Source organism: Homo sapiens, chromosome 10, assembly GCF_000001405.40.
Source record: "Homo sapiens chromosome 10, GRCh38.p14 Primary Assembly".
NCBI classification, from domain to species: domain Eukaryota; kingdom Metazoa; phylum Chordata; class Mammalia; order Primates; family Hominidae; genus Homo; species Homo sapiens.
Genome location: NC_000010.11, coordinates 3,422,388 through 3,448,529, shown reverse-complemented (window position 1 = coordinate 3,448,529; position 26,142 = coordinate 3,422,388). Strand labels below are relative to the sequence as shown.

General features: G+C 43.4%; 2 long non-coding RNA genes across 2 annotated transcripts in view; one reads left to right on the top strand and one right to left on the bottom strand.

The window, feature by feature from the left end:
• Positions 1–15,018, top strand: part of LINC02669 (long intergenic non-protein coding RNA 2669) — a 69,327-nt gene extending 54,309 nt beyond the window's left edge. Inside the window, exons 4-5 of the long non-coding RNA NR_155743.1 lie at positions 13,552–13,723; positions 14,168–15,018. This is a non-coding gene — a long non-coding RNA (long intergenic non-protein coding RNA 2669). The remainder of the gene's footprint in view (positions 1–13,551; positions 13,724–14,167) is intronic.
• LOC105376360 (uncharacterized) overlaps positions 1–26,142 on the bottom strand; it is a 432,070-nt gene that overhangs the window by 302,235 nt on the left and 103,693 nt on the right. The window lies entirely within an intron of this gene.

Sequence of the window (26,142 nt, the reverse complement as noted above, 5' to 3'; positions counted from 1 at the left end):
GTGGATGAATGGATAAAGAAAATGGGGCATATTTGTACAAGGGAATATTATTCAGCCTTTAAAAAGAAGGAAATGTTGTCATTTGCAACAACATGGATGAACCTGGAGGACATTATGCTAAGTGAAATAATCCAAGCACAGAAAAATACCACATGACTTCATTTATATATGGAACCTAAAATAGTTAAATTCATAGAAGCAGAAAGGAGAGTGGTGATTACCAGGGGCTGGGAGAAGGGAGGAACAGGGCATTGATGGTCAAAGGGAACAAAGTTTCAGTTATGCCAGGTGGATGCGGTATGAGCTCTACTCTACAGCATAGCACCCATAGCTAACAAGACTGTATTGTGTACTTAAAATTGCTAAGACAGTGGATCTTATGTGAACGCTTCATAAAACAACAAACAACAACAACTTAACAATAATAATAACGGGGTGGAAGAAAACCCTTGGAGGTGAGGGATGTGTTTACCACCCTGATGATGGTGCTGGTTTCACTGGTGGATACTTATCCTCAAACTCATCGAGTGCAGACACTAAACTTGGACAGGTTTAATTTTATGATTGCATGCCAATCGTACCCCAATCAAGCCATTTTTAAAAAGAAATAAATTAGGAAAGTAAAAAAAATAAAAATTAAAAATTACAAAAGCCCAGTGGGTTGGCTCTACCACTTCCTAGGAAACCAACTTATAGAGCCTTTCTCTAAGTTTCAGTTTCTTCACCAGTAAAATGAAGATTATAGACATATCTTTATTTCAATATTGTTTGAAAGCTTTCATGGGATAATACACAATTCTTAGCCCTGCTGATTGGTACACAATAATTTGTAACTGTTGCTTCTATTCGTATGAAGAAGAAGAATAAATGAAATAATTATTGTTGTCTTAGAATGCATATTTTCCAGAAGAATAATTTTTTAACAGTACAGTCCCACAGCAGTGAAAAGGAAATATATGTCTCAAGGTGGACTTTTAGTAAAGGTGCAGAAGCAAGTAAATGGGAAAATAATTTTGAATGATTGAAGAAGACTTTTCTTTTGCATCCTTCAACTCCAGGTAGATATAATGAGGTCATCCCTGAGAAGAAAAATGGCATTAAACCAGTCAAATGTGCTCTACTTAACAGCTCCAGCCAAAGATTTGAGGAGCTGACACTTTACATTATTGACGAAAATATAATTCTGTGATTGTGGGTAGATATTGTATAACTTTCTATCTTCCTGGATCTCAGAACCCAGAAAATGCTTCAGGAGTTGCTTCATGTATATTAATTGGTAATGATGAAAATTACCTAGAGTTCTAAATGTCCTCAGTATTGTAACTTCTGGTCCCCTACTACGAGGCTTTCATGGAATAAAAAGACTTCATTTTCTGTTTTCCTTACTTTTCTTCCCAGTTTATCATGCATCTTTTTTTTTGTTTGTTTGTTTTTTGTTTTGTGGTCGTTGGTTTTTTTTTTTTTTTTTTTTTTTTTTTTTTTTTTTTGAGACAGAGTCTTGCTCTGTTGCCCAGGCTGGAGTGCAGTGGAGCCATCTCAGTTCACTGCAACTTCCACCTCCCAGGTTCAAGCAATTCTCCTGCCTCAGCTTCCCAAGTAGCTGGGATTACAGGCACATGCCACCACGCCCAGCTAAGTTTTTGTATTTTTAGTAGAGATGGGGTTTCACCATGTTAGCCAGGCTGGTCTTGAACTCCTGACCTCAGGTGATCCACCCACTTCAGCCTCCCAAAGTGCTGGGATTACAGGTGTGAGCCACCGCGCCCGGTTCATCTGTGTTTTAAATACAACAAATCCTGCTGCCTCAGTGGTGTGTACTCTTCCTGAAGAGTTGTCCACGCAGGGCTAATGCATCCTGGAGTTCAGAACATGCACCTTAAAATACACCATGTTGGCATGTTGATTATTTTGAGTTAGAAGAAATTGAGAACCAGCTGACACAGAAAAAGTTCTTTATCTCCCTTTCAGCTGTCTGAAATGAAGAAGAAACTTCCCCTTTTGTAAAGAAAATTTACATTTATAAAGGAAATTCACAGTAGTTAAGGTATATATACCAGGAAGAGAACCGCTCTCAGACAACTTTAAGCACCTGAGAAACTCTTAATCTGCGTCACCAGGCAACCTTTCTTCACCGGAAACCCCCTCTCGCCCAACCATAATTTGCCCCTCCCACTCCCCTGGAAGCCCCCAACCCCCATGCACATCTGTGGCTCAGGGTCATAGATAAATCCCACTCATGTGGCTGCTTCTTTCAGTCTCCTATTTTTGTGGGATTTCCATGCATATGTACATCATTAAAATTGTTTCCCCTTGTTAACCTATCTTGTATCAATCAAATTCTTAAACTAGCCACAGGACCTAGAAGGGTAAGAGGAAGCAATTTTTACTCCCCTAAAAGCCCAAAATGCCCACATCTAGAGGCCCATTAGCCCAGGATCTCTGCAGACAGGGGAAGGGGTCGTCCTGCATTGATTTCCCTCCTCTTTCTTTGCATCCATCTGCTGATTTAGTTTAAGCATTAATGAAAGGCATCCTATCAAACTCAAAGGAGAAATACAGTCAGTGGTTTAAGAAATGGATTAACTGAAGCATCTGCACACAAAGAAACTTCAAATGTTGATGAGTGACTCATTTAATACATGTTAAGTAACGCCCTTTCTCCAACTGCTAGAGTAGAGGATGGGAACTTGATGCTCCCTTTCACGCAGAAACATCATTTGACCCAGAGACCACAGCTTTTCTCAGCAGTGCACCCCAAAGATATTTTACCCCAGATGTTAACATTTGAGCTGCAGAATGCTCAGCACATTACGGGTTCCACCGCAGTTCCTGCCTGAAATTGCCAATTATGTAGTCCAAAACACAAATCTACAAGCAAACATTTTCCATCAAATGCACTCTATTAGCCTACTTCATTGGAGTCCATTTTTTTTCAATTTTAATAATCCATTATGAACAATGATCAGTTATACAGAGGCTATTTACAATGTTTATGAAATGTTCAAAGCCTCGTCTCATAGTGCATTAGCAGTTCACCAGCTGGGTTCCTGTTGACAGCCACCAATTAATGGAATACCTCGAATAAACTACAGATCATCCCTCTCATGGCATGTATGGGAATGGCCATTATGAACAATGCTACCAGTGCAGGTTTAAAATTGGTATGTTGCATTTTATGCACAGAGAACATCCTGAGTTTGAGGAGGAGCTTTATGTTTATTTATTGATAGAACAAAAGTAGCCTAATATATTTTGGCTACTTAAAAATAATTACCACTTCCACTTACCCTGGTAAATAGGGTGGTGGGGAAGTCTGAGGTTAAAGTGCGTTCACTTCACCTCCTGGAGAGCTGCCACCCCGGGTTCTTCATTTCTCCCATCCTTTGTAGCCAAGTGGCCATGTCCTCTCCTCTCCTTAACAGCCCAGGAGGGCTAGAACTTGCTCTCCTTAAAGGAGAGAGAAGTGAGAAGACCCAGAAGCAACCTGGGCTGCATCAGGATTTTCAGAGAGCAGATGTCATCTGTAAATAATGACAAAGCCTCTGAAACCACCCCATGCTTCTTGGTCTGTGTGGAACCCGGAGGCTCCTAGCCCTCTGCTCAGCTCACCCATCCCCTAAAAAGGTCTTCCTCTAGAATGAACGAGCTTCTCCGTGGGAACCCGCAGTGCCAACATCCTAACATTGCATTAGCAAGTCTGTGGCAGATTTTTGTTGCTAAAAATCTCAAAGATTTAAGGGCTCCTATTATCTTCACCCTTCATTCCCCCAATTTGAATCCATTGGTGCAATTCAGGGAGCCATATTACAGACTCTTCTGAGGTCATTTTTATGTTCTCTTTTAGCAAATTTTTAAATAATTTTAAAAATATATTGTAGGAAGAGCACTGGGTTAGGGTTGAAGACCCTTGGGCTCTAAATCTAGCTCCACTTTCTGACCTCTGCAAGCCTCACTTTTCTGAGCTGTGGAACAGAAATAATAATACCTTCCTAGTCAACCTTCCAGGATAGTCATGAAGAGCAAATGCAAAAATGTGTACATGAATGCTTTGAAAAATCAAAAGCATCAATAAATGTAAAATGTTTATGCTCTGTCTTCCAACATGTCCTCTCAGAAGTCTCAAAATGTTCATTAAATCAACCTATACTTTCTTCACATAAAGAGGTATCCCTGCCTTCCAATGCTACCTAGAAACTGTAGAAGTTAAAATGGAAATAGGTGCATATGGGGTGGAGATAGGAAGCTGGTCCCCCAAAATCCCATTGCACATCACTGACTTGATGAATCCACGCTTGGGGCTATTCTTCCACCATGTGGGATCCAGTACCCGACTGGTCAGAAAGGGCAGACTCACATCAACAGACTCATTGGGGCTGCAAAAAATAAGTAAATCTCAGGAACCCCAAATCACTAAGCCAAAGGGAAAAGTCAAGCTGGGAACTGCACAAAGCAAACCTGTCTCCCATTTTATTCCTAAATGAAATTGCTACAATTTTTTTTTTAAAAAAGCTACCCACCTCCCTCACAATTTACCCACAAGGAAATTCCTTTTGGGCCTCAAGATCTTTACCCTAAAACAGTTCTGTTGAATTTCAACCTGGCAATGTAAGTTGCTAGCTTATCTTCACAGGTGTGGGACAAAGGACAAGCAGACCTCAAAGTCATCCCTCTGCTCACCTGAGACAAATGCACATCTGACGGCTTCCTCTGACCTACTGTTTATCTAAAAATGCAGATTCACTGAGCCAGAATAAGGTATCAGTGACTATTCCTCTACACCACTCTCACGCGTAAAGTGCGTGTTCACTGAAAGGCTGATCAAAGACCCAAAAGAATGCAACCTTTTGTCTCTTATCTATCTATGACCTGAAAGACCCTACTTCGAGTTGTCCCACTTTTCTGAGCCAAACCAATGTACATCTTACACATATTGATTGATGTCTCATGTCTCCCTAAAACCTATAAAACCAAACAGTGCCCCAACCATCTTGGGCATACGTCATCAGGAACCCCTGAGGCTGTGTCACCAGCATGTCCTTAACCTTGGCAAAATAATCTTTCTGTATTGACTGGGACCTGTCTCAGATACTTTTGGGTTCACAGGGTTGGACCTGTTACAGATACTTTTGGGTTCACAAGGTGGATCCTTGTCTTACTGCCATAAATTTCCTCTTTGGAACCAGACATGAGGTCCTATTATCCTGGAGCATGGAGATGGACGCTATTCAACAGTTGTTTAGTGGACAATTTGTGTGAGAAATGGAAATTCTTGGCTAAACAGTAACTAGGCTCAGCTGGGGGAAACCGGAGGCCAGGAGGATCATGGAAACACACCTTCCACCAGAACCATGCCCTCTGCCCTAGAGGTGATGGCCGGCTTCCCGACGGTATTTAAGGTATTCCTTTCCTTAAATACCACCGACATGGACCCACCAAACTTCCTATTTTATGCCATTCTTAGGCCATGATTATGGGCCACAGTTTTTAGGATCCGCTCTGTGTCTTTGAGGTGACTCATCAGTGAGGGGTTGATTTCCAAATCTTACCTCTCAGAGAACAATCACGAATTGCTTGTTTCCAAGTCTCAGAAAAAGAATCCAGAATAGAAAGAGAATACTAATTGATTATAAAATTCCAAGCTGTCAGATACTACCAAAAAGTACAAGACAGGACTGCTATGCACCTATTGCTACAGCCAAATTCCAGAACGCTGACAACGGCAAATGCTGCCGGGGAGGTGGAGCAACAGGAACTCTCATCTGTTGCTGGTGGGAATACAAAATAGTGCAGCCAGTGTGGAAGCCAGTGGGGCGGTTTCTCATAAAACTAAACATACTCTCGAGCTATGATCCAGCTACTGCACTTACTGGTATTTCTCCAATGAATTAAAAACTCATGTCCACACAAAGACCTGCACAGGGATGTTTACAACAGCCTTATTCATAATCACGAAAACATGGAGAAAACCAAGACGTCCTGCAGTGGCTGAGTGAATAAATAAACAGTGGAACATCCAGGCAATGGAATATGATGAAAGGAAATGAGCTGTGAAGCCTTGAAAAGGCATGGGGGATCCTTAAACGCACATTCCTAAGGAAAAGCCAATCAGATACAGGTGACTTCTGTATGATTCTAACTCTAGGACATTCTGGAAAAGGCAAAACTGTAGAGATGGTAAAAGGTCAGTGGTTTCCGGGGGCTGAAGGAAGGATAGATGAATAAGTAGAGAACACAGGGTTTTTAGGGCCATGAGACTTCTCTTTAGGCTACTGTAATGGTGGATCCATGTCATTATACAACTGCCCAAGCTAATAGAATGTACGACACCAAGAGTGAGCCTCATGTAGGCTGTGGACTCCGGGAGGTGCTGATGTGTCCACGTGTGCTCATTGATCGGAAGAAAGGCACTCTCTGGTGGGGGAATTGATAGCTGGGGAGGCTGAGACTGGGCCTGTGTGGGGACAGGGGGTATAGGGGAAGCCTCTGTATCTTCCACTCAATTTTTCTGTGAACCTAAAACCATATTTTTTAATAATTTTTTTTTAAGTACAACAGGCCAGTCACGGTGGCTCATGCCTGTCTTTGAGAGGCCAAGGCAGGTGGACTGCTTGAGCTCAGGAGTTCAAGAATAGCCTAGGCAACATGGTGAAACCCCATCTCTACTAAAAATACAAAATAATAATAATAATAATTGTAATTATAACCAGTCATCGCAGCACACTCCTCTAATCCCAGCTACACAGGTGGTTGAGCGGCCAGATCACTTGAACCTGGGAGGCGGGGGCTACAGTGAGCGAAGATCATGACACTGCACTCAAGCCTGGGGGACACAGTGACACCTTATCTCAGAAGAAAGAAAAAATGAAGAACAAAAGGACAAGAAAGGAAAACTCTAACATATTCTTAAAATTCTGACTTCACTTTTACTTTGTAAAGTGTCTTAATTTTTTATTTTCTGCTTCTATGTTAATGGGATCATAGGCCTGTCATTCAGGGAAGACACATCCTGCTCAGGCCACAGGCCACCAACATCTCCTGCCCCTGGAAGCATCTCAGGTTCACCTGCTGGGAGAAAAATAAGTAGAGAAGGGTTTCAGACACACGTCCTGTGCAACATACAAGACTTAGAAATGAGTGTTTGCTTGGTTTTTATCTCCCCATGATGGGGCTGAGCTGGGAGAAGGATTCCTGGAAGCTCTACTCAGTTAAATGTATTTTCTGACAAACTCAAACTGTATTTTACTGGATTCTTCATCCATAAAATTAGGTGGTTAGACTAGATCATCTCTAAGGGATTTGCCAGCTCTAAAGTGGTGCAATTCCATGATCTTATGATGTGGTGCTGAGGTTTTCAATTACATTTCGCTCAATACCAATACGGATTGTCTAGCATCCATGTGACTTGTCACAAGAAAGGGGCATTCTGTAGTATCCAAGCCAAGCCCAGTACTCAGCTTCATTTATTCCATGGCCAATTTACCCAACATTTCATTCAGCCAGATAATTTTCTGCAAAACCTAAGTTAAGAAAATGTAGCTCAGTAGAACTCAAAATAATTAGGAATGCCCAAAGTCAGTCTCAGTGTTGGATTTTGTGCTTATCCATTTGAAAATAATCTTATTTGCAACTTATTTCAATGTCAGGACAACAGCAACAAATTCTCTTTATATATATATATATATATATACACACACACACACACATATTCCACTATATATTTTTATATATATAATATACATACATACACACGCAAACATATACACACACGTGTATGTCTAAAATTAGCATACAGCACACCACTTTACAATAGCATTGTATGTATCTGACATTGCATTTATCTGTTCTAAGAAGCTAGGCAAAAAAGATACAATGTTCAAATGTTGAGCACTTTTCTTTTATTTATTTATTTATTTTTTGTATTTTTAGTAGAGACGGGGTTTCACCATGTTAGCCAGAATGGTCTCGATCTCCTGGCCTCGTGATCCGCCCACCTCCACCTCCCAAAGTGCTGGGATTACAGGCGTGAGCCACCACGCCCAGCCTTGTTGAGCTCTTTTCTAACAGCTAAAGTCTTACTAGAGTACATTAATAACATTAGACATAAAAGGTTACATTTTGCAATAGCAAATTTGTATTTAACTTTTGTTCTCAGTACTTTTTTTCCTCTCTGTAAATTTAGCAAGAAGGGACCACCCAAAGTCATCTAACTCATATTTAGTGTATTTGGCACAGACGTGAAAACGTGACCTATGTGAAGAAATCCAGCAATGGGGGAGGGGTGGAAACTCCATCTCAGTGGTTCACAAACTCAACAGCAGGTTCAAATCTCCCAGGAGCTTCCGAAAGCAAAGGTTGCCACCTAGACCAATTGAATTGAAATGTGTGGAGGCAGATGTCAGGCTTTAGCAGTTCCCAAAGATTTTATTACTATCACCCTTATTTTACAGATGAGAAAACTCAGGCACAGAGAGGATGGTTAACTTTTCCAAGGCCACAGAGCATGTAAATGGTATAACTGGGCTTCAAATCCAGATCTAACTCCAGAACCTGTGTTCTTTACTGCAATGTCACACTGTCACTCGTGCACACTCATTGTAGGAAAATCAGAACATACAAAGTGCTAAAGTGCCAATGCAAATAAAATCACTGTTAATATTTTGGAGTACATAATTCCTAAGTTATTTCCTCGTGGAGGGGCTTGTACATAAAATATGCTAACAACAGAGCTCCAAGCTCTTGGCTACTATATGCTAAATATATAGAGATAGATAGGTTTATTTCACCATACATACTGTTTTGCAATGTATGTTTGTAACTACATTATATTATGAATAACTTTTTTGATGCATTTTTGCAACATGACTTAAATGAATGCAATGTTTTTGATTATATGGTGCTGTGCTTTTAAAATATTTCTTCAAATTGTTTGAAATATCTCCCTTTTAAGAGGAGCCTGATTCTACTCCTTGCCTTGGGTGTGGGCTGGATTAAGTGAATCATTTCCAAGGAATAGAGTCTGTTGGAAGTCAAGATGTGTGACTTTCAAGACTGGGCTGTATAAGGCCTTAAAAGGCTCTCTCCTTGATCTCTCTCTCTCAGATCACTCTAAGGGAAGGCATGAGCCCATGCACACAGCCCTATGGAGAAGTCCACCTGGCCATGTGGCAGCCACCATCACCAGCTTGTCAGTTACATACTTCAGTGCACTCCCTCACTAGGGAATCCACCTGCCCCAGTCAAACCTTCAGATGACTGCAGCCCAGGCTGTGTCCTGATGGCAACCTCATAGAAGAACCTGAGCCCAAGCCACATAGATAAACTTCTCCTGGATTTCTCACCCTCAAAAACTGTATGAAGAAGAAATGTCAATTTTCTAAGTTGCTGTACCTTGGGGCAATTATTTACACAGCAATAAATAACTGATACAAATAAATATACTATGATTTATTTAACCAATCTACCATTGTTAGACATTTGAATTTTTCCCATTTCTTCATAGTGCCAAATACAATGATATGAAAAGCTTTGAGTTTATAAATACTTATATCCTTGGACAAATTTCCAGAAAACCCTTGCTGGATTAAATGTCCTACATACTGATATGCTTGTGTTGCTGCTGTTGCTTCTATATCCCTCCCTAGGGAGATTTTGCATTTTATAGTCTCCACAGCGAGGCATAGGAATGAGCGTGTTCTCACTTCCTCTCTGTGGTCAGCAGAAGAAAGGCCCCTCCAAGATGTCCACGTCCTAACTCCCAGAGCCTGTGAATATGTGACATCACATGGCCAAAGGGACTTTGCCAATGTGATTCAGCACTTTGAGATGGGAGGTTATCCTAGATTAATCTGGATTGATTTTTATCTGGGTGGGCCCAATGTCATCACCAGAACCCTTAAAACTAGATGAAGGACGCCTGTAATCCCAGCACTTTGGGAGGCCGAGGCGGGTGGATCACGAGGTCAGGAGATCGAGACCATCCTGGCTAACATGGTGAAACCCCGTCTCTACTAAAAATAACAAAAAAATTAGCTCGGGCATGGTGGCAGGCGCCTTAGTCTCAGCTACTCGGGAGGCTGAGGCAGGAGAATGGCGTGAACCTGGGAGGCAGAGTTTGCAGTGAGCCGAGATCGCGCCACTGCACTCCAGCCTGGGCGACAGAGCCAGACTCCATCTCAAACAAACAAACAAACAAAAAGTAGATGAAGAAGACAGAAGATGAAGCCAGAGGCACGTGACCTGAGAGCTCAGTCCACTGGTGCTGGCACTGAAGAAGTAGGAAGGGGCCATGAGCCCAGGAATGTGGGCAATCTCTAGATGCTAAAAAATAAAAGGAAATGGGCTCCCCCTGGAGCCCCCAGAAGGAACCATGTTCTGCCGACACCTTGACTTTAGCCCAGTGAGATCGATGTCCTGCTTCTGACCTCCAGAACTTTGAGAGTGTAGATCTTTGCTGTTTTCAGTCAGTACCTTTAAGATAATTTGTCATAGCAACCATAGAAAATTAATGTACCAAATACACTCACTAACAGATCTTCAGTTTTTTGTTTTTTAATGTTCAACTTTAATAAGCAAAAAGAAGAAAGTTCGTCATATCTTGAACGACAAACTGTCTTGGTTGCTAAATTACTGGAAACCTCTTCCACAAAGCTCTCTAGAAATCTTTCTGTCCCGCACCTAACATAGTAACAGTCCGCTCTCAACAGTGCACTTGGTCTACAGTAACATGTCTGTGACCTTATTAAAGTTTTTGCTGTTTGTTGTTATTGTTTTCGAAGGTTATTTATAATTCTAAGGCTCCTTTTCAGTGAGTGGCTGTTGTAAACAATAAGACAGAGTTTCAAACGAGACTTCGTGTTTTATAAAACTGCATTGCAGCAAAAGAGAAGGAAAGTAACGGGTTTGGAAACCTCTGCATTCCTCTTTTCACACATCTACTTTACAAGCTTTGTTTTATATTTGAGCACAGCCCGAGGCCCCCTCCAAGATTGCCCTGAGGTCAGCAGGGAAGAAACAGGGAGATGGGAGCTCCTGGTCCCCAGCAGGGCAGAGAAGAAAACCCTGTAGCCATCCAAAGGGCTGCTTGAAGGAAACTGAGAATGTACAATTAAAAGGAAGCTCAATGTTTGTCCAGAAAAGCATTAAGAGTCTCTTTTGTTGAAACTTTAACATTCTTTCTCTAACACTGGTATGCAGTGTTGGAGAAATGAAACAATCCTGCCAATAAAAGAATGCTCTGCACTAATAGAGGAGAGAGAGAGAGAGAGAGAGAGAGGGAGAGAGAGAGAGAGAGAGAGAGAGAGAGAGAGAGAAATAGAGAGATGGGGGACGGGAAGGGGAGAAACCATTTATTATAGAACAATTTATCATCAAATTTACATGCATAGAAGGTAGCACAGAAGTGATGATAACTAAGTTGGGACAGAATTACATTCAAATTTATACAGTAAAGTGGAAGAAAGAACAATTACGCTTCTCCAATCTCCTTGAGAGACGGAAGGGTGGGCCTGATGGTCTCCTCTGAGAATCCCTGAGCTCATCCCAGAGGCACCTGCTTACAGTCCCTGGGGCGAGAGACCTGGCATTGCAAACTCAAAAGGTGGGGTCTCCTACCGGCCTATTATGTTGTCAAGGACGCAGGCTCACAGGGGTGGGGAGACCATCATTTATGCCCATGGTGCTACTGTTTTCTTATGAAAATGCTCTTTACTCATTACTGATTACTTCATTACCCAGCCTAAATGAATCCGATGCTTGATTTAAATAAACACTAGAACTCAGAGTGTTAAATGCCGCTAATATCCTTAAATTACTCATCAATTTTGAAATAACTACCCTCTGAGAAGGATTTCCTTGACAATTCTCCGGTAACCAAGTCTATACTTCTCTTGAGAAGAGCTTTAGAACGACCTCTATTTAATAGTAGCCTGGGTTCTATTTTAATTAGGCTATAAGCGGTAAATATTTGCTAATAGACTTTGGGGTGAATAATTAATCAGTAAAAGACTGCTATGTACTGACGATTTATATGAACAAACTAGTGGATCAGATTCAATAAAGGCTTAGTGAAAGCATTCCTTTCTAACCTAATTGTTGAAAATTTAAGATCTCTACAGAACTGTTACTTAAAAAGATTGTGTGATTTTTCTCTAAATATTTATTTCCATTTCAATAGCTTGCATAAAGAACTATTTTGTTGTCTTAGTCCAAATGACTATTCTGTCAAAACATAATAAGTAAGTTAGAACTAAACAGATAATATATTTTATCCTTTTGTGGTACTTGAGCATGTTTCTGCTAGAAAACTATTTAAAAGAAGCTACGTTTCACTTTATTCTTCCAGTAGATAAAGGTGCATGTCCTGGAAGTCCAGTGATTTTCTCTAACAGCTTTATGGAGGTCTCGTTTATATACCATAAAACTCCCCCATTTTAATTGTACGGTTCAATGATTTTTTAGTAAATTTACAAAGTTGTGAAACCATTACCACAATCCAATTTTACAATCACAAAAGAATCCCAATTGCCCATTTGTAGTCATTTCTCCTTCCCACCACAAGCTCACGCAACCAGGAATCTATTTTCTGTCTCTTTGGAGTTGCCTGTTCTGGAATATTTCATATAGAGGAAATCGTATACTATGTGGTTTTGTGACTGGCTACCTTCACTTAGCTTAATGTTTTCAAGTTTCCTCCACGTTGTAGGTATTGTAGTCATATCAGTGTTTATTTCTGCACTGCTGAATCACTTCCCATTGTACAGACCTGGTCCGTTTCATTTTTCCCATCACCAGTTGATGAATATTTGGATTGTTTCCCCTTTTTGGCTATCATGAGGAAAACTGCTATAAGCATTTGCATGTAAGTCTTTGTGTGAGTAGATTTCTTGCTTTAGAACTTGTGGGTTTTCTAGAAAGTTTATGTTTAACATTTTATGAATAATTTACATACTGATGGAAATGTACATTGTACTGCCAAACTGTTTTCCAAAACAGCAGTACAATTTATATTCCCATCAGTAATGTACGAAGGGCTTAAGCTTCTCTGCACCTCACCAGTGTTTGTTTGCTATTGTCTGTCTTTTTATAATAATCATTCTAGTGGGTATGTAGTGATATCTCATTGTGGTGTTAATTTTTATTTCCCTGATGACTATTAATGTTGAGCATCTCTATATGTGCTTATTAGCCTTTCGTATTTCTTGTTTGGTGAAATGTGCACTCAATTATATTTACATAGTATTAGATACACACTACTTTAACATCATCTGATACAGAACAGATTTTGAAAATGCATTTGATTATATCTGAATGAACATTTGCTATGTACAATGTGCTTGGCTATTTGCTTTATAACATTAAATGAGCATCTTCTATGTGCAATATATTGAGCTAGCTGCTTTGTTACAAACCAAAAAAAAAAATTTAAGCTCTTGCAGACTTTACAGAAATAACCACATTATAATGTAGATAATTCATTCATGTTGAATGCTATCACAGATAATTAGACAGTGTTTTGTTCACTCAAAGGAAGAAAACAATCTTTTCTCTTGACAGGAGGGAGGTATCCAGAGAGGCTAATGGAAGAGACAGGCTTTGGGATTTATTTGCAGAGAGGTTAGGCATTCAGACATGTGGAAAGAGAGATGAAAGGAAAGTGCACCTGAGGCTGAACAAGTGACTAAAGGAGAAGCCACTGTGCCTGTCGAAAGAACAATGAATAATCCAGGTGAGCAAAAGAGGGGACTTGAGAGAAAGCTGGACAGATTTTGGGAGGCCGAGGCAGGTGGATCGCGAGGTCAGGAGTTCAATACCAGCCTGGCCAACATGGTGAAACCCTGTCTCTACTAAAAATACAAAAATTAGCTGGGCATGGTGGTGCGTGCCTGTAATCCCAGCTACTCAGGAGGCCGAGGCAGAACTGCTTGAACCTGGACCTGGGAGGTGGAGGTTGCGGTGAGCTGAGACTGCGCCACTGCACCACTCCAGCCTGGGCTACAGAGTGAGACTCTGTCTCAAAAAAAAAAGAAAGGTGGACAGAATGGGAGTATAGTACTTTGAAATGTCACACGGAGGAGTAGTTATTTTACCATCAAGAAAGGAGAGCCGATCAAAGACTTTCAGTAATTGAGGGTCATCATTAATTTGCATTATTTTTTGAACTATTTTCTAGAATTGATAGATAAGTAAGACTGGGGAAGGAAGAGAAAGGAAGACACAGCCTCTGAGAGCCGGATGAAGACACAAATGGGATGGAGGCTGCGGCTGTTAAACCATCAGGACTCAGCGGCTGTTAAACCATCAGGACTCAGCAATTATTTCATGTGGAGACAAGTGATGGCAAAGCCAAAAGGCCACGGGTGTTGAGCTGTTGACGAGAAACTGAAAGTGCCATTGTGTTTATACAGGAAGCTGCCATTAGTAGGGATTTGAAAAAGCAAGAGGAGAGGATGAGTTTAGTGGGGAGTTCTTACACTTCAGGTGCTAGTGGATACCACCAAGTCAATATTGAGTAGCAGGAAACCAGGGCCTGATGTTCCGTCAGGCCATCAGGGCGGAGACATTGTGGAGAGGAAGTTTTGAGGCTGTGAGATTAGGAGAGAAGCATGGAGTGTAGAGCAGGAACTAGGCCTCTCTTTACCCAAAATCCAAAACCCCACTTATGCCAGACACACTCAATACTTTCTGCTGGGATCCTCAATTCTCATAAAGTTTTCATAATAAGGCCGGGCGGGGTGGCTTATGCCTGTATTCCCAGCACTTTGGGAGGCCGAGGCGGGCGGATCACCTGAGGTCAGGAGTTCAAGACGAGTCTGGCCAACATGGTAAAAACCTGTCTCTACTGAAAATACAAAAATCAGCCGGGCTTGGTGGTAGGCGCCTACAGCTAGTCGGGACGCTGAGGCATGGGAATCGCTTGAACCCAGGAGGCAGAGGTTGCAGTGAGCCAAGATCATGCCACTGCACACCAGCCTGGGGGATACAGCAAGACTCTGTCACAATAAAAAAAACAAAAAGTTTTCATAAATTGGGATGTTTCCTCTATTCCTTCCCCTGTCTCATTCTTGAGGGATTGAAGATAGTGTTTGAAATCTCACTGGCAACCCTTCCTGCTCCCTTTCCCAGCAGTTCCATGACCTTATCCACTCTAACAAGCCCCGTTTCCTCCCTGCTTCTGCCACTCGCTGAACACAGTACCTTGGCATTGCTGTCCTACATACTCCATTCTAGCCGTGACCGCTCTTCCGGAACACAATCTCCTACTAGCTGCTAGGTCTGAGTGACTAACATAAAATTCTCCCTGGTCTGTCAGTATTTGAAATACAGCCGCTTGTCTTGAAATGTTTATTGTCACTTGTTCTTGGTATAAGATGAGCATTTAAAATACACACACACACACACACACACACGCACGCACATATACAGGTATATCTGAGGGTTTACTATGTGCCAAGAACCATGCTGGAATCCTTTCATAAATATGGCCTCCATCATTCCTGAGAACAATCCTATTAAAATGTGATGTGAATGCATTTTCTCATTCATTAAAAGTGTGTGTGTGTGTGTGTGTGTGAGAGAGAGAGAGAGAGAGAGAGAGAGAGAATATGACATCCATCTGGTAACAGAGACCTGATCTCAGTTTCCCCATCTGGGTACTGCTTATAGAAATTGATTTTGGACTTCAAGGTAGAATATGATGCAAGCTAACCCTAGGGGAACCCTGACAAATTAAAGGGGAAAATGCCTGTAGGGAGATGCCATGCTGAGTCCCCACAGAGCCCAGTTCAGCTGGGGATGTTGCTCTGAGAACATGCAGATGAATGTCTTATTTGTTTTGGGCTTCTTAGACTTCAATCCATTCCAGGAACCCTTTTAGGGTTTACTATGCAGCCAAGTGTAAAATGCATCTGATTTTTAGGAAATTTGCTAAAAGAAGCTATACAACTCATGCCAAAAACCTCTCCACAGCAGCTAAAAGTTCCATTAAAGTATGTCATTAAACACATGTTCCAAAAAGGTTTTGTATCTCATTTTGTTCTCTGGGGTCTACATTTTGAAGTAAAACATCTTCACTAACTTGGGCATTTGATGTTAAAATACTAAAAATAATGGACAAAATTATGACAAGGAGAAGGCAAGGCTGGGACGGGCCACAGTGAATAAAAATTCAATCTGTTTTCCCAAACCCACTGCCATGCTAACTGGTATGTGTCTGCTTCTCTCAGTGATTCTGCGAGCTATGGTCCCAGTGTCCCTAGTGGCAGTGGCATGAAACCATCTCAGGGCCAACCTCCAAGGAAACAGCATTCAAGTGCCTTTACTCACACGGGAGCTGTGAGCCGGGGATTTTCTGCTGCAAGTGACAGACCACCCAATGCAAGCTAAAATTAAAAAGAGGGACTTAGGGGCTTTCATAAACCACTCCAGAGCTAGGCCTAGGTTCAGAAGAGCCATCCAAGGGCAAGTGTATCAGCATCTGTGGTGGCAGCTGCCCTCCAGCGTCCTTCTGGCCTGTCCAGGTGCCCCATTCTGTAGGATCTCCTGTGCTCTCCCCACTGCCCATCTCCACAGATGAGAGGGAGGTCTCTCTCTCCAGAGAATCCAAAACTGCCTTCATGACTCTCTGGGCACTAAGTAGGACACGTTCTTATCTGCAGATCAATCCCTGTGGCCGCCGTGTGGCTTTGTTAACTGACTGACTGGTGACTCCAGTTCAGCCCTGGAGCTGGACTGGGTCAGGGCCCCCAAATTCCACAGGCAAAACATGGGATGTCTCTGCTCCCTGCAGGTCAAATGTCAGTGCCATTCCCAGGAGCACAGGGAATGGAGGTGGGCAGCGCAATCCACACGTGGACGTTTCCAGGGAATACATCCCCTTGGTGGGGGCCAAATGGGTGGGGTTAGGGTAGGCCCTGGGAATGCCACAGTGAGATATCCACAGTCACTGTCTACTGCAGGCTCATTCTCCACTGAGGAGGCCGATGGATGAAGACCTGAATGAGACAAGGAGATGAGCCCTCATGAGAACTCACTGTACAGCTGTACCTCAAATACAGCCACCTCTACTATGAATAGATCTGCTTCCTCTAGATTCACCCCTACTAGGTCTAACTCTATTAGTCCTACTTCCATTAGATCCACCTCTACTAGACTTTTCTCTACCAGACCTATCTCTATAAAACCTACCTCTACTAGGCCTACCTCCACTAGATTCACCCCCACTAGATTCACCACACAAGATCCACCCCCACGAGATCCACCTCCATTAGATACACCTCCACAAGATCCACCTCCATGAGGCACACTCCCACTAGATACACCTCCGCTAGATCCACCTCCACTAGATCCACCCGCACGAGATCCACCTCCCCTAGATCCACCTCCACTAGATCCACCTCTACTAGATCCACATCTACTTGATCCACCTCTACTAGTCCTATCTCCACCAGATCTAACTCTACTAGACCTACCTCTACCAGGCCTATCTTTACCAGACCTACCTCTACCAGGACTACCTCTACTAGACCTACTTCCACCAGGTCTACCTCTATTAAACCTCCCTTTACTCGGCCTACTTACAAGTAATGGTGGGATGTTCATGGGTGCGGAGTGGGAACAGGAAAAGGCACATCTGCTCTTAGTCAGGCATTTTGCAGGTGGACTACATATTTTTGCTTTTACTTCCTCTCCCATCAATCTTATTAGACAGTATGGTTATCTGCATCTTGTACAAAGAAGACTAAGTAGAGAGAAGTTAACTTGACCCAATTTGCACAGCTGGGAGGCACAGGAAGGATGAGAAAGCCAGGTTCACTGGTTTCCACATCCTGTGCATTGGGCAGGCTGATGGCATGTGCAGAAGGGAGCTCAAGACAGATGGGTGAAGGCAGGAGGACTTTGGGTGTCGAGAGCTAGTGGGAGGCTGGGTCACATTAAGTGATATCCAGAAGCAGATATGTGATTGAGAAAAGCCACTTTGATTGGAATATGGCTGCTAGATTATTTGATGCCAAGGCTAGAGACAAGAAGACCATGAATATCTTCAAGCTCTAATTACTAGACTTTGCACAACTCATTTAAGACACAAAACCTTAAAATAATCTTTTAAAATACAAATACCAACCTATACACTCTGTGGAACCTTTTTTCCATATCTCAACGTTAAAAAAAATCTTGATTTTCCTGAAATGTTTAGGTAGACAATTTTATACCCTTCTTATGATGGAAGCTTCCAGCTTTGAGCTTCATTTCAGATTTAGCATTTCAGAGCTAAATGACTGTATTTTGAAACTGCGGAACATACTGGTTTATTCCTTCTTCCTTTTCCTGTAAATTAAGGAGGAAACAGGAAAACACCATCACCTCCTCACTCCCTCCTATTTTACCATTTAGGGTTTTGTCTAATCCTAGAGACCTCACTCAGCTCAATGCCTTCTTTAATACTTGGTTTTCCGTTCCAGGCAACTGAGCCTTAAAAATTATTTCTGTCAGCTGTTTAGACTTCACTGTCTTCCTCCTAACAAATCCCAGATAAAAACAGAACAAAAAAGTAAGAACCAGAAGAGACGTTGAAATCCAAGTCAAGTCCTGTGAATACCTGCCAAGCAGAAGAAAAATGATGGCAGCTCATCTGCCCGCCCCCTCCCTTCAGCATCAGGGTGAAACTCACAGCGGCTGGTGTCCACTGCACAGCACAGCACTGCATCTCACTATTCTCCCGTATCTTATCGTAACAGTAATAGGCTCATTGCAAGCCCAACACGTACTGCACAGCAAGTCCATATGCCAAGACACCAACTTGCAGCAAAGAAAGAGGTTTTGTCTCAGGGACGCAGACAAGGAGACAGGAGGAACCTAAAATCTGTCTCCCAGAGGGGTTTGGAGTTAGGTTTTCCTGTTTCTTTGTTTGTTTGTTTGTTTAAGACAGAGTCTCTATCGTCCAGGCTGGAGTGCAGTGACACGATCTCGGCTCAATGCAACCTCTGCCTCCCTGGCTCAAGGGATTCTCATGCCTCAACTTACCAAATAGCTGGGATTACAGATGCCCGCCACCATGTCTTGCTAATTTTTATATTTTCAGTAGAGACAGGGTTTCACCATGTTGGCCAAGCTGCTCTCGAACTCCTGACCTCAGGTGATCCACCCGCCTCAGCCTCCCAAAGTGCTGGGATTACAGGTGTGAGCCACTGAGCCCAGCTGAGGTTAGGGTTTTTAACGGTTTTGGAGTGGGCTGAGGTGTGGAGACCATTGGTTGAAGAGTGCAGGGTGACATTATGAGACAGGGAGAGGAAGAAGCTGTATTCTCAGACTGATTCCATTACTCTTTGGGGTCTTCAAATTGGTGGACTCAGCTATTTTTCTGGAATTTGAGATCTGAAAAACATCTGAAGCAATTCTTAAACAAAAGCCTTACAGAAATCCTATTTAAAGGACTCCTATCTATAAGAATGTGAATGGTCAGTATCTAGTGCTCAGTGACTTCTGTTTATAAGAAATTGGGCCACAGTGCAGCGTGATTAATGCTTAACTATAACTACATTTCTGTCCAGAATTCTTGTTAACTCTGTGAGGACGGCTTCAATATGAAGAACTTCCTGGCGACTGAAATTTATTTTTTATGGTTCTTTGTTGTTCCTTCAATTTAGGTACCTAAGCCTAAGAAAATTCTTAGAATCATCTCAAATTTCCAGAGCCTCCTGGCTACAACAAATCTTGGTACCAATTTCTGTATCAGTCAAGATTGTCAGTTGCAACCCACAGTAACTTTGAATGATCTAAGAAGAAAATATATCTGTGAAGAGCCATTGCTTGGCTTAGAAAATGGGTAAAGTCAGGCCAGGCACGGTGGCTCACACCTGTAATCCCAGCACTTTGGGAGGCCGAGGTGGGCAGATCACCTGAGGTCAGGAGTTCGAGAGCAACCTGGCCAACATGGTGAAACGGCCCCTCTACTAAAAATATAAAAATTAGCCAGACATGGTAGCGCATGCCTGTAATCCCAACTGCTTGGGAGGCTGAGGCAGGAGAATCACTTGAACTTGGGAGACGGAGGTTGCAGTGAGCTGAGATCATGCCACTGCACTCTAGCCTGGGCAACAGAGTGACACTTCATCTCAAAAATAAAAAAAAAAAATAAAATGGGTAAAGACAAACAGAGATGAATCTGGAGGCACAGCCAACCTCATCCCACAGGCAGGTCTACAGAGACTCTGCTGACGCCATAGCTGCCCCGAGTCCAAATCCTGTGTGTCCAACACCAGAGGCAGGTCACACCCAGCTGCTGGGGTGAGGGACCCTGGCACTGACCGTCCCCACCTCCGCCTCTGCAGCTGCTGAAAGGCATTATCCACCGGCTGGCAGCTTTGTGCCACTAGTTGTGAGTTGGCTCAGGCTTCTAGAACAAAGTACCACAGACTGGGAGGCTTAAGCAGCAGCAATTTATTTTCTCAAAACTCTGGAGCCTGGAAGGCAGAGACCAAGGTGCTGGCAGAGTCGGCTCCTTCCCAGCTGTGAGGAGGAATCTGTTCCAGGCCTCTCCTGTGGCTTGTAGATGGCTGTCTTCTCCCTGTGTCTTTTCACATCGTTTTCCCTCTGTAGATGTCTCTGTGCCCAAACTTTTTCTTTTTATAAGGACACCAGCCATAGGGAGTTACGACCCACGTTAATGACCGCATTTTAAATGGATTACCTCCATAATGACCCTATCTCAAATAAGGTCACATTCAGGGACTGGAGACTAGGATGTCAACACATGAATTTTAGTGGAGAGCCAATTTTACCCATAACATTAGTGGTCAAAATTGTCCATACGTGTTTGTGTGTGTGTCAGTGTATGTAGTGTGTGCATTAGTGCATACATTACAGAAGCCAGCCTAGCATTTAAATCCATTGTCATGTAAAAGAAGATTGCTTCAAGGTAAAAGTCTTGGTCATGAGTACACTAGCTGGTAAAATCTGTGTGTTTCACAGGAATAAGATTTATGAAGCCATGGAGCGTACAGCTGTTAAAATAGATGGAATAAAGCAAAGTCATCTAATAAAAATGTGTGCTTGGCTGTGAAGTGTGAGCCAACTGTAGGGATGCTTCACAGATGTCCTGTGATTTTTTTGTGACTGCTGTAGGTGGCCAAAATGATCCTAATATCTTTAAACAAAGGCATATTGAGGCCCTATTTATGTCTCTCATATTACTTCCAATCTCAGCATCAGCTGTGCAGTCTAAAGGGAGAACCTAGATTCCTAACGTTTTCAACTTTTTAACATACTTTAAAAAAGATAACGTTATTATTCCAGTGAAAGCATTATTCCACCAAAAGATAATGCGCACATAATCGCTATAGGAAGTGTTGATTTTGTGCGCATCTCTGAAATGCTTGACCTGGGTTACAAAGGGAGGCTTTTATTAGAAAGCAGGAACTTAACGCTAAGTCCATGCTTGCAATCAATTCTTTTGTCAAAAAAATGTACATGAAGCAGGCCTGAATTAAGTACAAGATAACATGGCACAGAAAGTCAGGCACATGCTGAGGTCAGGATAAATATCAGAATAACCAAAAAGTTTTGAGCTGGATATAACAGAAAAAAATGGCGGTCACTAATTAAAAGAAAATTGAGGTTGAGGATTGGGAGAGGCACCTTAGTTGGGATAATTCCATCTGGGACCATTCTAAATCCCATCTGCCAATGTCCTGAAAAGATACCTTCTCTCCCTGAAATAATTTAAACAAAATCCCCAAATACTTCATAATATTTGTGCATTTCATTGTCTAGTCATTGCCCAGACAAATATTGACAAGCAGTGGCAAACATGTAAGCATTACTTCTCCACAGGACTTTGCAAAGTCCCTGTTCTAGCCCATTGCCTCCCAGAAATGCCTTCTTCATGGCCCCTGGGGACTGAAGTGCAGGCCACCTTTCCTTCTCTGCCTCCCAAAACGTTACAGGAACTGCCTGGGGGGCAGCTGAACCAATTTTGCAAAACCTAATGTGGGTCAGGGATCAGCTATTTGAGGCTGAAGTTCAAACCTTTCGGTAAACATCAACCCTCCCAACCCTAAAAAGGATATATAGATACATATCCAGAGAAATATGTAAACATGTTTTTCCCTAAGATTGCTGTACTTCCTGTATCCAGTCAACCCAGAAATACCACAAGTTCAACCTTTCTCACAGTATTTTTCCACTTCTCTGGGACTCAGCCAGAATCTCAAAGTGCAGAGATGAGCAATAATCATAAAATCTGGGCCCCTTCCAGGAAACGTGTCAAATGAATTCAAATTATTCTCATTAGCATCACTAGCAGGAATGGTAATAATGGCTTTCATTGCCAGTGTCCTATGAACCAGGATGGCTGGGAAAAGCGATTGCAAAAAAAAAAAAAAAAAGTAACTCTTCTACTTGCTCCAGAAAACTGCACGCCTGGCATCCAGGGGTTTGAGGGTGGCGGAGTCTACATCACTCATTCTGAGAAAACAGAGGCCCAGAGATATTGTCTCAAGATGGTAGCCAGGCCAGGGAAGAGGTCAGAGCTCCTGGCTCAGAGTCCAGGCCATTTTCCACGACTGTACTTAGTGCCCAGCTCAGACCCTGCCAGGAGCCCAGGAGTGAGGACAAGACGCAGCTGCACTCCACCTGCTTTTGCCCCTCTGCAGGCCCCTCCCCTTTACCCGGTGTCATAGAAATTCAGCATTCAGGGGCAGCAACATGTTTCCCTGCGAGCACCCCACTGCTCCATCATGATGAGATGACTGTGAACTGGGACACCTCGCCTTGATTTTCTTATCTGTAGGATGGTGAAAATAATGGGCCCTACTTCACACAGGCTGCATGTCCTACCACGGTGCCTGGTCTCTCCACCATCATTATTTTTCCACGCAAAGCATTTCCTGACAAATTGTGAGGAATACATTGAGAACGCAAGTTCAGTGTGCATCGTCACTAACTGTGCAGGAAGAGCCCCTGGTCTTGGACTCAGAGGCGTTGGTAGGTGGACTCCATTGTGAATATATATATAATATATATTCACCTCCATCACATATAGGTGATTCACATTGCTTCCTCACCAACGACTCAGCTTTGGACATTTCTGGAGAGTTTTGGATTACTGTAGTCCATAAAGAACTTCAACAGCTCTCTCTTCTTAGGTAGATACTTCTGGATTTCTGGCATTTAAAAGAGAATCATCCTAAAAATGGGCTGCATATGAGCTCGTCTTTTCAACACCTTTCAGTGCTCAAGGAAAAAATAACACTCACTTCTTACAGTCTTAACAGCAGAAAGGTAGATCTTTTCAAACGCAAACAAAATAAAATAAGAAACTGTGAAATTTACTGAGTGTATTTGAGGGAACCCTATTACTGCCTAGATTTCAAAATACCAGCTTTGAGCAGAAGAAAAGCCACCTGCCTATGAAGTTCATCTATATGCACTATGCTGAAACAGTCACATATTCTTTCTCCCATAAAAACCTAAAACAGATGATTAATATAGCCAAAGACTGAGTTAGATTAATTAATTTAGCTAATTTGAAATAATCTGGCATGTTGACAGCATCATTTAGTCTCAGCCCAGTGATGAAAAAACGGACTTCAAGAGATTCTTCCCCAGGTGTTTCAGCCTTGGAATCATTTTAATTTCATGTTGATCTAATTAGTAATTCCAATCACAGGGGAAAGGAGGAAAAAAAATACCTTTCCTCAGTTCATGGTCAATAACTTTGTACCCATGTGGACATTAGTGCTCTCCTGCTTCTCACTAGGGGCTGGAAGCCTTCCATCTGATAATGGACGGTAATGGATGGATGGCGGATTTGCACGGCGTGTGGTCCCCAGGGGAGACAGCGGGGCGGGTGACTCAGAGGATGGGAGCCTCGCCCGCCCGGCAGCACAGCCCTCCCCAGCTCCAGGAGCATTTCCTCCTGAAAACAGGAAGCGACCTCGGTTTATAAATGCCCCGAAGGGAACATTTCAGCTGTCTCCTCCGTGATTGTACAAAGAACCAGGCAGAGATCCTGGAAGGTCATGAGGATGGGAAGTGAGTCCGCGGGGGTCGTGTCTCCCCCCGGGGTGCGTGGGGCTCAGCAACACGTGTGGGGCCCTTCTCCCCAAGGCTCACTCTAGGACTCCCGGGAAAGACAGCTTGGGTGAACCTGGGTGTGGCAGGTATTACAGGAAGGAAAATGGGCTGTATGGGTGATAGATAGGAGTGTAGGGGGAAGGGATAGCAGGCGGAGCGGGGAAGGGATGGCGCAGGTGGAGCACGGGCCCCTGCAGAACCATGAGGCCACTAGGTTTCAGAGCCCTCAGGGTCCTACTGTCCCAGAAAGCCTGCGGGTCCAGCACCGGGCTTCTGTGTCTTAGGGCAGCTTTTGGAGGTGCTTCCTTTGTCTGCTAACTTACCTTTACCTTCCTACATTTTGTTTGAAGTCAGAGAAAATTGCCCATTTGGGGGCAACAATGAAGCATTCATCACTCTCCGGAGCTAAGCCATCTCGAGTAGCCCTCAATCAAACTCTGCTATTTTTACCTCAGAGCACAGAGGCCACAGCGGATAAAGGACCCTTAAGGTAGCTCATCTAATTTGTGATGGGGCCCAGGGTTGTAATACATCGTCTTCACGGCCGTCTTCAGGGCCATGAGCCCTGAGCAGGGCTGGTTTCCCATGCGTGTCTGCTTGGGATGGGGAGTTTCATCAGGAAAACCAAGCACATATTAGAACAGGAACAGCAGCTTGGCAGTCAGGGCCCGGACCAAGAATGCAAAGGGGCTGGAGGATCCAGGCTCAATAGTAGCTCAAAAAGGAAGATACACACAAAGCTGACACACAGAGTGAGCCACCGCCGGCACTGAGGTCACGGTACACAGTGAGCCACGCCTGGCCAGGACACGGACACATGGGACACTACCCTCCCTTCGCCCCGCATGCACCACCTGGTCCCGTGCTTCCCCTGGAGCCGCCTCCTTTCCCATCCTCTGCACTCCCTGGTCCACTCAAGTCTCTGCTCTCTCACACTTCCTCCTGAAGCCAGGCTTTCTCAGAATCGCTGGGATCCGCCTCCCCTCTGCAGCTCTGCAGCTCTGCAGAGCTGAGGGCTTTGCTGCCCCTAAAGCGCTAACTACTCACAGAACGATGTCAAGGGCATCTCTCATCGTCCACATCCATCTTTTTTGTCTCCCGCGGAGGGGCTGAGTCCACGCTTTGTGTGGCTTCAGTATTCAGCCCCTGGCTTCCTCACCCGGCCACTGTGAGCTTTCCTTACACAAAACTGGACTGAACTGCTGGGTCAATTCTCAAACCATGCAGAAAAGCAGGGAGGTGCCGGCATTGGCCTGAATTTATCATACTCTTCATTTCCCCGAAGTATGAATTAACATTAGGCCCTGAGATCCACAGCGTATAATCACTCTAAATTCAGATATAATAAGTTATAAAATGTGACTGTGACCTTCAGTAAATATTAAAACAAACAGGCTGGGCGTGGTGGCTCACGCCTGTAATCCCAGCACTTTGGGAGGCCGAGGCGGGAGGATCACAAGGTCAGGAGTTTGAGACCAGCCTGGCCAATATGGTGAAACCCCTTGTCTACTAAAAATACAAAATTAGCCAGGTGTAGTGGCACGTGCCTGTAATCCCTGCTACTTGGGAGGCTGAGGCAGGAGAATTGCTTGAACCCGGGAGGCAGAGGTTGCAGTGAGCCAAGTGCCCCACTGCACTCCAGCCTGGGCAACAGAGCAATACTCTGTCTCAAAAACAAACAAACAACAAAAACCCAAAGACTGTGGGGTTGGTAGTGAAACTAGGACATCATATTTCTTAGGAGAGTCCCTTTATCTAGGGGATATAGTTAAAATAAGACTCAAAAGGATCTGGAGTGTGTGTAAAGGTACGATTGAAAACCAGTGGCTATCATCCCTGCCAACAGTGCTAACATTTACGCTGGCTGGGGGGCCCTGGGAGCCCTGCTTCTTCAGGGACATGAGGCCACACTGACAGCAAGGAAGGCAAACGCAGGAAGCTGGTCCCCACAAGAGTAGAGCATCCACCCACAACACTCCTTGACAGCGGCCAGGGATGGGGGATCTGCACACCGCTCCGCTGAGACAGTACACAGCTCAACCCCTTCCAAGGGCAAGACCTGCGTATTCCAGT